Genomic DNA, 15,459 nt, shown 5'->3' with positions numbered 1-15,459 from the left:
GGCTTCCAATCACACCAAGAATAAACTCCAAACATTTACCTGGCTTTCAAAGTCCTATTATTTGGGCCCTACCTCATCTGTTACCATTTTCTTCCTCATCCACTAATTCTCCAGCCATACTGACCTTCCATTCCTTAAATATACAACCCTATATTTGCCTCAAGGCTTCTACACAGCTATTCTCCTTGCCTAGAAAGCTAAATTCACTGAACCCTGTTTGGAAGACTTTCTGGTCAACAGATATCAACTTAAGTGCCACCACACTTCAAGGGACCTCCATTGGCTACCTAATGTAACTTGCTATCACAATATCTTATTTTAGTTATCTGCATGATAACTTACCAATATCTGGGTATTTTTTGTTTACTAGTTTACTGCCTGTCCCCCGCCAGAATGTCAGTTTCACTAGCACAAGGCCCATATCCATGCTCCATCTTTATAGAATGGCTAAAATACAGATGTTGTCAAGTTCTTCTCAGTGAGTATCTTTGAGTGTCACCAATTTGGTGGTGCCATCAGTAACTATGCTATACAGAACAGTGTTGCATTTTTTTCCTAAGTAACCTTTAGATGCACTACGAAGTCACATTAGTTGGAACTTCCACAGTGCATCCTTGGATTCTTCAAATTCAAAGGAGACATTTCATGACTTCAAGAAAAGTTAAAAGGCAAGCTATGTAGGTTTAGGCAAATCATCTCACCTTTCTGAGCCTATGCTTCTGCATTTGAGAAACGAAAGGTGAAGACTAGATCTACTGTTCTTACTTTGAGAATCCATGCTTCTCAGAAATATCCTCTGCTCAAAAGAGATTCTTTAAAGGGTGCATATGATCCCCTTCCTCTAGCCCTTCCCCCATTGCACGTTCAAATACTATAAACATGCTAATCTTGTACTAAAGAGCCACTCTCTTACTGTCTTTCTTCCACATGGATCCAACGGCTTTTAAGGGGGTCAAAAATGCTTCAAGGAAATCAAATAGATTTGTGTTCACTTCTGTGGACCCCAGGGTTCCTTCTAGCTCTAAAATTTTGACCAAGAGTATCAACTAACATATAAAAATAGCAAGATGCACACAACATCAATGTTTCAGTATAGTTGCTGTAATTCTCCTGCAGATACCATTCTAGGAATTGACTTTAGTTGAGGGAGACTAAGAAGCTTTAGAATCTGGTTGTCACTGCAAATCAGGACAGTTTGCTAAGAACTATCAAAACAGCCTTTAAATAAAATAGAAAAAGATGGTGTCCATTGAAGATCAATATATTGGGACTCCAATCATCACAACAACTACAATTACTCTTAAGGGCTCAAAATAAAAATTATATTTAGAGCTGGCTAACCCTGTTGATAGGTCTTTTTTATGATAATGTATTATTAATGCAACTAATGAACTTAAATAATTAATGGAAATTGTGTGGTTATTACAGGAATCCTGAACTGCTCAAGGTGCAAGGCAAAGGTACATTCTACTTTAAAGAGGTGAAATACAAAATCAAAGAAAATAAATATGAACTTAAAGTTCTACTCTAAAATTTTAAAATCAGTAAGATCATAATTTATTTTCTCAAGTAGAAAAGGTCTAATGCCTCAAATAATACACGAGTAAGAGGACTTGGAAGTTACAAAAAGGTTATTAGCACATTAATATGTTTCTGTAAACATTACTAGTAAAAGCTAAAAAACCAATGTTTCCAAATATTTTCATAACTAAATTAAAATAGATTGAAAATTTGAACTCAACTAATCTTACTTTTATCCAACAGCATTATGATACAATTTGTTAACTATGGGAAAGAGGGCTAAGAATCATAGCAACTAATTTGGAATATTCACAAAACTCTTAGAATTATGTCACACTTGTAAATACCATCTGTTATTTTTATACTTTAAAAAAAAAGCTCCCAAATACTGATTCACTGATCCTAAGGCATAATGCATAACAGTAGTACATATATATAGTGGTAGAGTAGAAGTTGAAATTGTTTTGATGTTGACATTAACAAGTTTTTTGAACATCTTAGGATACAAAGATCCAAAGATGGTTAAGATGTTTTGCCTGCTCTTGAAGACTTCAGTCTGCCTTTATCGACCAGAGACATTCTATGCCTTGATTCTGCTTAAGTCAGGTTAAACAGAGTGCCTCAAACTCCATTTCTACTGTTAGCACATGTTCCCTCTGTCCCAGTCTCCAACATCTGTGGGTTAGAACTGAAGTTCAGGTCAATCCCACTGGATACCTTTAGGAGAGGATTGATAAAAATCATGAGTCCTCTTTAAATTAGTTGAGCTTTTATTCAGTTGTCCTGCTGTTTTCTTTCTAATTGGGCTACTTTACCTATCCCAGTGTGTAAAATTATGACAATTCATAATAATTTAAGATCTGCTAGAAAAACTTTGAAATTAAAAAAAAAAGCTATCAACTACCATATCTTTTTATTTAAATCTTATCTTATTTAAAAAAGAAATAGCTTTCAAAGAGTGTGTGACTAGAAATGAAGAAGCCAGTATTATCCTTAATCAGAGGGATTAACTTATAAAACAAAAGGATAGGCTGGGTGTGGTGGCTCATGCCTGTAATCCCAGCACTTTGGGAGGCTGAGGCGGGCGGATCATGAGGTCAGGAGTTCAAGACCAGCCTGGCCAACATGGTGAAACCCCGTCTCTACTAAAAATACAAAAATTAGCCAGGCGTGGTGGTGGGCACCTGTAATCCCTGCCACTTGAGAGGCTGAGGCAGGAGAATCGCTTGAACTGGGGAGGCGGAGGTTGCAGTGAGCTAAGATTGCACCATTGCACTCCAGCCTGGGCAACAGAGCGAGACTCCATCTCAAAAGAAAAAAAAAAAAGGATAAGGCAACAGTACGTAGTGAGAGCTTCATTTAAACGCCCTGGGACCTAAGCTCATTTTGACAAAGCCAACCTGTTTAAGGAGAGTATGGGGGAGGCTCAGACAGGCCCCTCAGTACAGGTGGACAGAATCTGAAGCAGAGAGCTACCATCAGCTGTGAGTCTGTTCCTGATGGTCCTGAGCCCAAGATCAGTAAAGCAGTGCTGTGTCATTAGAGTTTATATGCTCAGGTCAACCTAGTAACCTATGTGGGATATCGTCCTAAAATAGCAGCAACAGAGATCCTCTCCCACTGAGGGAAAATGGAGAAATGAAGTGCCTAGTCAACAAAATTCAAGTCTTCAATTGTTCCCCTATATTCAAAACTATTTTACCTAAAAATACTTTAGTAAGTACACATATCTCATTTTTAAGTGTTACTATATTATTTTGAGCTTAAGTTAAAAATAATGCTTTTAAAAACCTTTATATTTAGTCGCAAGCACCACAATAAGCAATTGCCAGTCAAGCAAAACTAAGATTTTTAAAAGTTTAAAAAAAAAAAAAATCACTTACCCCTTCAGCAAGCTCTAAAAGTGGAACAGGTTTACATTTGCAACTTGAGACAACTATTTTGTCGCCACTGGAAGATGCTGTTACTAAAAAGTTATCTAAATGAGGAGTTATGGAGCATCAAACAATCCATGAACATCTATAGCACTAGACTATTATAAGAATTGCGATTATAAAAGCTAACACACTAAGAAGACAAGCAATGAGTATAGCTTACAGAGTAGCTTTCAAAAATGGCTCACATTACTATTAATAATTACTAAGACTAATTCTCTTTGCTACTACTGCAGGGAAGAACTAGCCTTCTTTCTGGCTCTGCTATCACTCAAAAGCTATTTAACCCACGTGAAATACTACTCTGTTTTCAAAGAGTAGGCCAGAAGGGCTAATTTTATCCTTCAAGAATGAGAGCATGATAAAAGCAGCATCAGCAAATATCAATCAACCTTTTCATCTACAGAAACTGTTCAAGATATTTATTAACCTAGTGCTTGGTAACAATCTAAACTAGGAAGCAAACATCCACACTAGTCTCCTATTTTTCTATTTAAAAAAAAAAAAGGCCTGATATTTTCCCAGAACATGAATTTTTGTGATAGAATGTTTCAATCTTAAATTAAGAATGACTATTACAGTAACTTGCAAATATTTTATAAATATGTATGGTTAAATAGGAATTGTGTTATGAGTTTTAATTTTTAAATAAAATGTAATTTTATTTACCTTCTTTTACACGAATTGTAAATGGAACAATCAGTAAACACAAAACAGTAACTATTTTAAAACTAAAATGATTAAATACAATAATATAACTAAGAATAAGAGTCTGATTTTGAGAGCCATAACAAATTAAAATATCAGAAGTTTAAATCTGTGCTTTTTAGCAATTAAAATCTGTGAGTAAAAGCAATGGAGAAAGGTTAATTAGACACTCAGAATCCCTAACTGCATTAACTTTTGAATGTTCTGTATAACTTTCAGGTATTTTGTAAACAGAGCATAGACTGTAATTTTATTATGATACATGATGCAAATCAAATCATTCCTACCTAGATATTACCATAGCGAGAAAAACCATTTCCCTTTCCTTGACTTCTTCCTGTTTACCACTACTTTTCTCCTTAGAATATAGAAAAAAAAGGACTGAAACATAATGTGGGTGGGTAATCTAGTTCTTTTTTATTTCTCTTGTAGTTTTAGAAATCATGAGAAAGTGAGGAACGTAAGTTAAAGGACAAGAAACAAAAAACTAATCTCTCTGGTGTCTCACATTAACCCCATTCTTGGAATCTATACTATGTGGACCCCAAGTTGCTAAGGCTGGGAACTCCTTGTTCTTCAGTAATTAACCTCCATGGAAGTGATCAAAGCCTTATTAAGAATAAGACTGTATGAAGGCTTTCAGTGCACATCTGCTCATGCAAGAAAACTGTAAGACCAATTTCCAAAAGTCATACAACACTATCTCATAGCTACATCAGTTTTGTTGTTAGACTATTAAGTAGCACATCAGTAAATGCCAACTCCTAGTAAAACTTAAAACAAAAGTCAACCAAAAAATAATCTTACTACAAATTGCTACCTTTCTCTTATATAGTAAGAGGGAAAATTAAGCTCTAAACATAATGAAAATCTAAAAATAGAGAACAGCAACTTCATATACTTGTCGCTCTCTTTAAAATATTTTCCCTATTACACATCTGGAAAGTCCTTCAAAAATGTAGTCACTTCACCATGAGTTTGATTAACAGAGTACCAAAGTAATTTGTTTTACTGCAAAATCAAGGAATGATAAGGAGGTAAATTTAATTCAGTAAGAAAATTTGTCCTTCTTGTTATATACATGCAAGAATAGTAAGTCATATAAAACTTTTAATATTTTTGTTCCTGAACCAGTCACATTTTAAAGCTTTGATTTTTTTATCAGAAAGTAGAATACTTTGGTGTTGATAAAAATCAGATAAATGTTAAATCTTAATTTGTTAAGAAATAGCGTATGAGTTTCACAAAAGAAAATTTCTAACATACCAATTACATAAAACATTTTCACATAAAAGGTGATAGGAGCACTGTGGTCACAGCAGTGGTTCTCTACTGGGAGTGATTCAGGCAATTCTGGAAACGTTTTGGGTTGTCACAACTAGAGGCTATTGGTACCTAACGGGTGAAGACCAATAAACCTCCACGTGGTACAACATACAGGAAAGGTCCACAACAAATTTTCTGCCCCAAAAAGTCAATAGCACAGGGTTCAGAAACCCTAGTTTACAGTCTTCACTCCCTCATTTTATTTTATCCACATTGAGGAGCTCACCAAGACAGGGAAGGTGTCAATCAGAAACATAAAAAGCTTAGAAAAGTTCAATCTAGGTAACTTTACTATGTCTGTTTAGGAAATGTAATTTTCATCACACACACAGAGAGGAAGGAAGATATGGAGAGTACATTAGTAAGATGGAGATATTGGGCAATTTTTTATCTCCTCCCCAACTTGCTTCTGCCTTCAAGTTCTGTCTTTAATTTTCAGTTCAGATCCACAAATACCCAAATGTAGATGCAAAAACTCATTCCAAAACCTTTTGGAATTATTTCCACAACTACCAACCTTATTCCATTTGGTTCAATAAGAAATTTTTGATAACTAATTCTATGGTGTAGACAGAATATACTTTTTTTAATAGCAGTGTTTTCAAATGAAGTGGGTTGTAACTAAATTTTTTTTAAATGAACGCAACAGATAAAATCAGAGTGCATTCATATGATATATTGTTTTGTAAATTACTATTTTACGTTATCTATCCTTGGTAGCAATGCAAAACACATTACTCAGTATGAGGCACATGCAAAAGTTTCATTGACAGTGGTTGTTTAACCTAATAAGCGGTTTGTGTGTGTGTGTGTGTGTTTTTTTTTTTTAAAGGATACTATTGCTGCTCCAACATATTGAGCTGATTCCATGTGGTGATGTGTGTGGGTTGAATTTATCCACCAATGTCATAGATGAAGCATCCCATATTTTAATATCATCTCCTGATGAAGCAAATCTGAGGTTTTCCTGCATGACTGCGCCTACAAATAGTTTAAAACAATGTATTTTAAAAACATTTAAGAATAGACATACTCAAAAAAAGGTCAAAATCTAATCTAAAACAAGTGGCTCTAACTCATTCATTTTTGTTCCAAACAGTGCAGTCACCAAAGCAGTTGAAGTGATTTTCCTAAAACATAAGCCAGGTCGCATTCTCTTAGCTGACCCTTCCAATGGCTCCTCACAGTAATGATAATGAAATCCAGCCTCCTTAGCCTGCCTTACATGTCCTGGCCCCCATGTAACTCTCCTCTTTCTTTTCACTGGCCTTCTCTCTGCCTCATGCAAAGGCAAAGTCATTCTCACCTCAGTGTCTTTTCATTTGCTGCTCCCTGTGCCTAAGATGTTCTCCCCAGATTCCCATGGTCATCTCCTTCTCATCATTCAGGTCTTAGCTCAAATGTTTCCTCCTATGAAAGGCCTTTCCTGACCACCCTGGCTAACGCAGTCCCTTCCTTACCTGGTAAGGGACTTAGCAGTTTACCCTATATCCCAATACCTGATTTCATTTTTTTCATAGCACTTCCTAATATCTGAATTTTTTTTTTTTTTTTTTGAGACGGAGTTTCACTCTTGTTGTCCAGGCTGGAGTGCAATGGTGTGATCTCGGCTCACCACAACCTCCGCCTTCCAGGTTCAAGTGATTCTCCTGCCTCAGCCTCCCGAGTAGCTGGGATTACCGGCATGCACCACCACACCCGGCTAATTTTGTATTTTTAGTAGAGACGGGGTTTCTCCATGTTGGTCAGGCTGGTCTCGAACTCCTGACCTCAGGTGATCTGCCCGCCTCAGCCTCCCAAAGTGTTGGGACCACAGGCGTGAGCCACCGTGCCCAGCCACTATCTGAAATTTTTATTTGTTCTTATAATGTCTGTCTCCCCACACCAGAGTCTTGAAACATTCCTGGCACACAGCAGTTTCACAACAAATAACTACTAATAAGTAACTTCCTAATTTTTAAAAAAAGTATGATAAACTAGCATTTCTGCAGGTCAGAATCCAGTCACACCAGTTTTTCCAAAACTCTAAAATTAGCAATATGGTCAAATGAGACGCCACTAAGTCCCTATACCAATACTTGGACTACGATGCCTTCAATCATTTATTCAGAGCATACAGCTGAAACACGTAATTCTAACAAGGTGATTTCACAAACCAAGGAAGTCTAGAAAACAGAAGGCAAAGAAGCTGCTCTAGACAGGCACTTTAAAGAGCAACAGGTAGTAATGAACGATAAGTGAGAAAAAAAGATGCTCAAAAGTACATGGGAGAAAAGGAAAGGGAGAGGGCACAGAATTATACCTCCCACACCTTCCTAGTATGGAAAGTGCAAGACTACTGCACAGCATTAGTGATGTCACAGGCAGGTCCCCGAGTCACCAATACAACAGCACACCTACGTCTAGTATAAGCCATTTCAGAGGACAAGTTAAAGACAGAATTATAGAAACGTTTCATTCTCGAGACAAAAAGTTAATGTAATTCACTCATGTGCTTCCTTATGCTCCATTCATCCGATACAGTGCTACTAAAAGCCATTAAAGTCACCTGCAGAGATGTAACACAATGTTTGGATTTGGAGCCTTAAACATGTGTAACACGTGCCCCCTTGGTTCCCAAGTCAAGGAACAACTAATGAATTGCTGGAAAAGCGAGCTCTAAGCCCTGTAAACCACAACTGCAAGCTGTGTCTAACTGCATCGTAACCAGGCCTGGTGAGCTGCGGGGTGTAGTGGGTAGATCACTGAGGCCTGGGCTCAGAAAAACTGGGTTCAAACGACCTGCTCCAACTTAGGAAACACAACTCGCCGGGTGATTTAATGTTTGTTTTCGGCTCTTAAAGCGGGGCGGGGAAGAGGACCATCTGCCCACCTACCTCGGTCTTCTAAGAACTGAGCATTAAGGGAGAGACTTTACATGAGTCCCTCAAAGACGGTCCCGTCGAAAGCTAGCAGTCAGGACACAAGGCGGTAACGTCGGCCTGGGTTTAGGGACAGCGGCTACAGGAACCAATTCAACTACACCACTCAGCTGAAATGAAAGTTCTCCAACTTTCAATCACCAAAAATACACTTTACTTGCAGGACAACAGCTCAAGTGAGGCTAACCTGTAAAATGCATCCAAGTACCTGCCAAAAGAAAAGTACTTGAGGTTGACAAAAAAGGAGACAGACTTGTGGAGACGAGGCAAACTTTTCGGAGGCAGCACACCCCACAAGGCTCCGGGAGGTGCGCGACCCCGGCCCGCGCCTCCCCGGACACTTCCCAGCCCAGCGCGCCGCCGCGCCCCCGCCCAGCAACCGCTCCGGGCGCGCAAAGCCCAAGGACCGCCGCCCCGCCCTCTGAGGGGGACGGAGCGGGTCTTAGGATCGGGAGGGTGCGCGGACGCGGCGGGCGGGGGCCCGCTGACCTCAGGGCCTCCGGAACCTCACCTCTCCGCAGCAACACAACAGGGGGCCGCGGCCGGCTCCGCGCTGGGCTTCCGGCTCCCGCCTGGACTGTTAAACTTCGGCGGCCGGAAGTCCCGCCCCGAGTGACGTCACGGGGCGAGGCGCTGCGTGCGGCTGTGGCTTCTGGCCGGACAGAAGTCGGGGTACAGAGGGTCTGGTCAGGGCGGCGCTGGGCAGCCGCGGGGGAAGTTATCCCAGTGTCAGGGCGGGAACTGCGGGCCGGGGCGGCCCTCTCCACGCCCCAGCGACGGAGCTCCGGCCACTGCCAACTGCTTGTCATTCACTTGCTGTTTACTGTGTGCCAGGCACTGTGCTAGACTCTTGAGTGTACAGTGATGGTTTAGCCTGGGGATACAGGGGTACAGTGAATTCTCGTGGTCCTTGGCCTTGTGGAGCTTACAATGCACTATAGGAAGCTGACGTTATTAGATGCTTAAATGGAAAGTGAAACTATGATAATGAAAGGTATAAGATGCACGAAGACCCATAATAAGGGAAACTATTGTGGATGTGGATTTAGGAAAGGATTCCTACATGCGATTTACAAGCCAGGAAACGCGCTCAGGCTGAGAAATAACCCAAAGAGTAGGCGTCTGCACTAACCTACTTCAAAACCCATGATCTTTCTTTCGCATCATGCTGCGAGGTCCGGAACATCAAACATCATCTGTTTGGGAATTCTTTTGAAGGGGATACTTCAAGGTGGAAAAGGAAGTTGCTGAGCCGAGTTTTCAAGTGCCCCTTCCAAAGGTCCTTTTATAGCTCTACTGACAATTTTTGCTAAGAATATTTATCATAAATATAGAGCATTTCTTCTGCAAAAAGTGTTATTCTTTCATCACAACTACATGGGGTGTGTTTCTGAACTAGGTACATCAGCCCCAGTTATCTGCATTCATATTGCAGATAATTGGAAAATTCTAATAAGTGCATTTTTTCAGAGCAGAAATTGAAATCGTAGCCAAGTTACTGAGGTTCATGGGGGAGTGGCAAAAGGAGAAAGATAGCAAGCAGCAACTACCTTAATTGTACAGTCTGCAGTTCTTGAGGCTATGAAATCCAATTTGGGCAGGGAGGAGGCCCAGAAAGTTGGGAACTAAGAAAGTACGGTAAGGGAGTGGGGGCAGGGAGAATGGGAGCAAATGGAGAAAAGAAAACTTCAAACAAAAAGGGCAATTAATTAAATCTCTGAAAATTGAAGCCAGCAGGAAAATTGAGACTAGACTATATGAAAATATATATAATAATACATGTAATATAATATATACATATTATATGATATAATACTAGTTATACATATAAAAATAGATATTTATTGAACACTTTACTAAGCACTGTATTTGTGTATATAGACGTAATGTGTATGTATGCAATATATATATAATTTCATCTTTCTAAAAACACATGAAGTATGTGCTATTATTTGTCCCCATTTTACATATGAGGAAATAGAGGTTAAGTAACTTGTCCAAGGTTACAAGTTTAATAAATGGTAGATTCAGAAGTTAAACCTGGGACCATGAGACTGCAAAGACTGTCCCAGACCTTTATGCTATACAGTCAAGAGCCATAACACAGCGTATAGGGCCAAATGGAAACCTCCATTCCTCTGTCCTCACTGATGCTGCGGCCTCATCAAATCTTACTGGCCCTGAAACAGTCCTGTCATTTTTGTCCGTGCCTCTGTGCCTATGTATACACTGTTTCCTCAGTTCTGTATAATAGTTTAACGAACAATAGATGCCAAATGTTAGAAGCCTTGCTAATATATGAATTATATAAACATATACAGATTTCCAAAAGTAGCCATCACAACAAAGAATATTTCTAGAGACAAAGAGAAATATTTCATAATGATAAAATGGTAAATAACCACAAGCCATTATCAATTTTAAGTGTATAGGTGAACGTAAGAGAATTTTGAAATATATGAAGAATAAGTATCAAAGCTAAAGGAGGAAAAAAGCATACCCATAGTCATTGTTGGAGACTGACAGAATTTTCTCAGTAATTCATAGAACATCCAGATAAGAAAAACAAATCAGAAAAGATGTGGAAGATCTGTACACTTATCAACTATTTTAACTGACATTTATAGAACACTATAGCCAACTACTGCAGGATAAACATTCTTTTCAAATACACATGAAAATGGAGCATATATTGGGCTATAAAACAAGTCAATTGATTTTTAACAGAATAAATCTTACAGACAATACTCTCTGATCACAACAGTATTAAATATAAATAAAAAACAATAACACATCTAGAAAAGCCCCAAACGTGAAATAAAACAACCTTACTTCTAATAACCCATAGGTGAAGGAAAAAATCAAATCACAAATATTAATAATAACAGAAAATATTTGAACCGAGTGATAAGTAAAATACAATAAAAATTCATGGAAACAGCTAAATCAGTGCTTATATTATGAAATCAGTGTTTATATTCTGAAAAAAAGAAAAGTCCAAAATCAATGATCTATGCTCTCTCTTAAGAAACTTAGAGAACAAATTAAACACAAAGATTACAGTACAGAACAATGAAATTGAACAAAGATGAACAATAGAGAAAAATCAATGAAACCAAAAGCTGATTTTTGAAATGATTAATAAAATTGAGAAATCTCTAGCTAGACTTACCAATAAGAAAGAGAAAACACAAATTACCAATATCAAGATTGAAAGAGAAGCCATCAATACAAATCCAAAGGATATTTACAAAAATAAGGGAATAGGATAAACAACTCCATGTCAATAAATTTGGTCACAACTAAAACAAATGAATACCTTGAAAGACAAGTATTAAAACTGACACAAGAAGCAATAGATAATATGATAGCCCTATATGTACCATAAAAATTGAATTCAAAATTAAGAAAGCCATCTCACAAAGGAACCCCAGGATCAGATGGCTTTACTGTTGAATTCTATCAAACACATGAAGAAATAATTCAACATTTTAGGAAAACAGAAAAGAAGAGAATATTTGCTAAACCCATTTTTTAGAGGCAGTATTACTCTGATACTAAACCAGAAAAAGACATTATAAGAAATATCCATAATTCATATCCCTTATGCATGGAGACAAAATTATATAGATACACATATATATGCAAAGTAAATCCAGTAATTTATAAAAAGGATTATAATCAAGTGAGATTTCTTCGAGAAATCCAAGATTGGTTTAACACTCAAAAATCAATTAACATAATTCACCATATTAACAAAATGAGGGAGAAAGCCCATATAATTATATCAATAGATGAAGCAAAAACATTTTTTTTAAATTTAATATCTATCCATGATTTAAAATGCTTGACAAACTGAAAAAAACAAAGGAAGGAAACATCCTCAACTGGTTCAAGGGCGTCTACAAAAAGCCTACAGACAGCACCTTAGTTAATGATGAAAGACTGAATGTCTTCTCCTAAGATTAACACAAGAACACCCAGTCTTACTAGTAGTCCTATTCAACATTCTTCTGGAGGCCCTAGGCAGTGCAATAAGACAAGAAGATGAAAAGAAAGAGAAGAGGAAATAGGAAGAGGAGAAAGGAGGAGAAGGGAGAGGAGAAGAAGAAAACAAGTATACAGAGTGGAAGGGAAGAAGTAAAACTCTTTATTGCAGACAGAATGATTGTGTACTGTAAAATCATAAGGAATCCAGAAAAAAACTCCTAGAGCTATGTGAATTCAGCAAGTCCTATGCAAGGTCAATATACAAAAATAGAATTCTATAAACTAGCAATAAACAATCAGAAAAGTAAAAATTACAATTTCATTTCTAACAACATCCAAAAGTATGACATATTTACACATAAATGTACTAAAATATGTTCAATAATTGTGCATTGAAAACTACAAAACATTACTGAGAGAAGTTAAAGACCTAAATAATGAAGAGCTGTATCATGTTCATGAGATAGAAGACTCAATATTATTAAGATATCAGGTTTAAATAATGCAATTTGTTGTTTGTATATTATGCACCATAACTTTATTTTTAAAAAGATCTCAGGAACAAAGAGTTCCTAATTATTAAGAAATAAAGTGGGCCGGGCGCGGTGGCTCACGCCTGTAATCCCAGCACTTTGGAAGGCCGAGGCGGGCGGATCACGAGGTCAGGAGATCGAGACCATCCCGGCTAAAACGGTGAAACCCCGTCTCTACTAAAAATACAAAAAATTAGCCGGGCGTAGTGGCGGGCGCCTGTAGTCCCAGCTACTTGGGAGGCTGAGGCAGGAGAATGGCGTGAACCCGGGAGGCAGAGCTTGCAGTGAGCCGAGATCCCGCCACTGCACTCCAGCCTGGGCGACAGAGCGAGACTCCGTCTCAAAAAAAAAAAAAAAAAAAAAAAAAAGAAATAAAGTGATGTTCTTCACTTGTGAGAGAAAAACAAAGTTAAGTCTTAAAAAGAAAGACATAACAAAACAAAAATTGTCAAATTTAATAACACTGGCTTGAAAAGCCTTAAATATTCTAAAAAAAAAAGTTACTAAAGTTTCAAATATCAGAATGGCTTTTTTACAGTGCGTTTCCTGCCAGAACACAGGTGTCGTGAAAACCACTCCTAAAGGCTAAAATGGGAAAGGAAAAGACTCATATCAACATTGTCGTCATTGGACACATAGATTTGGTCAAGTCCACCACCACTGATCATCTGATCAACAAATATGGTAGCATCAACAAAAGAACCATCGAAAAATCTGCTGAGAAGGAAGCTGCTGAGATGGAAAAGGGCTCCTCCCCATGCCTGGGTCTTGGATAAACTGAAAGCTGACACTGAACGTGGTATCACTATTGATACCTCCCCATGGAAATTTGATGTCTCAGGACACAGAGATTTTATCATAAACATGAATCCAGGCACATCTCAGGCTGACTTTCCTGTCCTGATTGTTGCTGCTGACATTGGTGAATTTGAAGGCATCTCCAAGAATGGGCAGACCGATGATCATGGTGCTCTTGCTTATACACTGGGTATGAAGCAACCAATTGTTGGTGTTTACAAAATGAATTCCACTGAGCCACCCTATGGCCAGAAGAGGAAATTGCAAAAAACGATAGCACTTATATTAAGCAAATTGGCTACAACCCGGACACAGTAACATTTGTTCCAATTTCTGGTTCAAATAGTGACAACACGCTCAAGTCACATGCTAACATGCATTGGTTCAAGGGATGGAATTCACCCATAAAGATGGCAATGCCAGTGGAACCATGCTGCTTGACACTCTGGACTGCATCCTACCACCAACTCATCCAACTAATAAGCCCTTGTGTCTACCTCTCCAGGATGTCTGCAAAACTGATGGTCGTGGTACTATGCTTGTAGGCCAAGTGGAGACTGGTGTTCTCAAACCAAATATGGTGGTCACTCTTGCTCCAGTCAATATTATAACTGAAGTAAAAGTCTGTTGAAATGCACCATGGGCCAGGTGTGGTGACTCACACCTGTAATCCCAGCACTTGGGAGGCCGAAGAGGGCAGATCACATAAGGCCAGGAGTTTGAGACCAGCCTGGCCAACATGGTAAAACCCTGACTCTACTAAAAATACAAAAATTAGCCAGACATGGTGATGCATGCCTGTAATCCAAGCTACTTGGGAGGCTGAAGTGGGAGGATCGCTTGAGCCCAGGAAGCAGAGGTTGCAGTGAGCCGAGATTGCACCACTGCACTCCAGCCTGGGCAACAGAGTGAGACTCCATCTCAAAAAAAGAAAAAAAGAAATGTACCACAAAGCTTTGAGTGAAGCTCTTCCTGGGGACAATGTGGGCTTCAATGTCAAGAATGTGTCTGTCAAAGATGTTTGTTGTGGCAAAGTTGCTAGTGACAGCAAAAATGACCCACCAGTGGAAGCAGCTGGCTTCATTGTTCAGGTGATTATCCTGAGCTGTCCAGGCCATATTGGTGCTGACCATGCCCCTCTAATGAATTGTCACACATTTCACATTGCTTGCAAGTTTGCTGAGCTGAAGGAAAAGATTGATTGCTGTTATGGTAATAAGCTGGAAGATAGCCCTAAATTCTTGAAGTCTGATGATGTTGCCATTGTTGATATGGCTCCTGGAAAGCCCATGTGTGTTGAGAAGTTCTTGGACAATCCTCCTCTGGGTCGTTTTGCTGTTTGTGATATGAGACAGACAGTTGCCGTGGATGTCATCAAAACAGTGGACCAGGCCGGGCGCGGTGGCTCATGCCTGTAATCTCAGCACTTTGGATGGCCGAGGCTGGTGGATCAGGAGGTCAGGAGATCGAGACCATCCTGGCTAACACGGTGAAACCCCATCTCTACTAAAAATACAAAAAAATTAGCCGGGTGTGGTGGCAGGTGCCTGTAGTCCCAGCTACTCAGGAGGCTGAGGCAGGAGAATGGTGTGAACCCTGGAGGTGGAGCTTGCAGTGAGCGGAGATCGTGCCACTGCACTCCAGCCTGGGCAACAGAGCGAGACACCATCTAAAACAAAACAAAACAAAACAAACAAACAAACAAAAACAGTGGAAAAAAAAACAGTG

The 15,459-nt window shown here is 38.9% G+C and overlaps 1 protein-coding gene and 1 pseudogene across 7 annotated transcripts in view, besides 3 other annotated features; one reads left to right on the top strand and one right to left on the bottom strand.

Moving 5' to 3' along the window:
* NEDD1 (NEDD1 gamma-tubulin ring complex targeting factor) overlaps window positions 1-8,965 on the bottom strand; it is a 46,524-nt gene extending 37,559 nt beyond the window's left edge. Inside the window, exons 1-4 of one of the 7 annotated variants that reach the window (NM_152905.4) lie at window positions 8,922-8,965; window positions 8,366-8,618; window positions 6,327-6,470; window positions 3,405-3,499 (exon numbers count right to left, since the gene is read on the bottom strand). In NM_152905.4, coding sequence (NP_690869.1) covers window positions 3,405-3,499; window positions 6,327-6,462 — 231 coding nt within the window. In that variant the 5' untranslated portion in view covers window positions 6,463-6,470; window positions 8,366-8,618; window positions 8,922-8,965. Of the gene's footprint in view, window positions 1-3,404; window positions 3,500-6,326; window positions 6,471-8,365; window positions 8,757-8,921 lie in introns of those variants that run through there. The other 6 variants (XM_005268644.3, NM_001135176.2, NM_001135175.2 and 3 more) reach the window with 6 other exon arrangements.
* Window positions 8,143-8,282: an enhancer, noted in NCBI's record as "active region_6837". NCBI's record gives its function as "activates an Ori minimal core promoter by ATAC-STARR-seq in GM12878 lymphoblastoid cells {active_cell/tissue: GM12878}" and the evidence as "EXISTENCE:reporter gene assay evidence [ECO:0000049][PMID:35858748]".
* Window positions 8,323-8,412: an enhancer, noted in NCBI's record as "active region_6836". NCBI's record gives its function as "activates an Ori minimal core promoter by ATAC-STARR-seq in GM12878 lymphoblastoid cells {active_cell/tissue: GM12878}" and the evidence as "EXISTENCE:reporter gene assay evidence [ECO:0000049][PMID:35858748]".
* Window positions 8,653-8,932: a silencer, noted in NCBI's record as "silent region_4747". NCBI's record gives its function as "represses an Ori minimal core promoter by ATAC-STARR-seq in GM12878 lymphoblastoid cells {active_cell/tissue: GM12878}" and the evidence as "EXISTENCE:reporter gene assay evidence [ECO:0000049][PMID:35858748]".
* On the top strand, window positions 13,461-15,122 carry EEF1A1P33 (eukaryotic translation elongation factor 1 alpha 1 pseudogene 33; annotated as a pseudogene).

Source organism: Homo sapiens, chromosome 12 (genome assembly GCF_000001405.40).
Source record: "Homo sapiens chromosome 12, GRCh38.p14 Primary Assembly".
Lineage (NCBI taxonomy): Eukaryota > Metazoa > Chordata > Mammalia > Primates > Hominidae > Homo > Homo sapiens.
The sequence above is the reverse complement of the archived record's forward strand: the minus strand, read 5'-3'. Positions and strand labels throughout refer to the sequence as shown.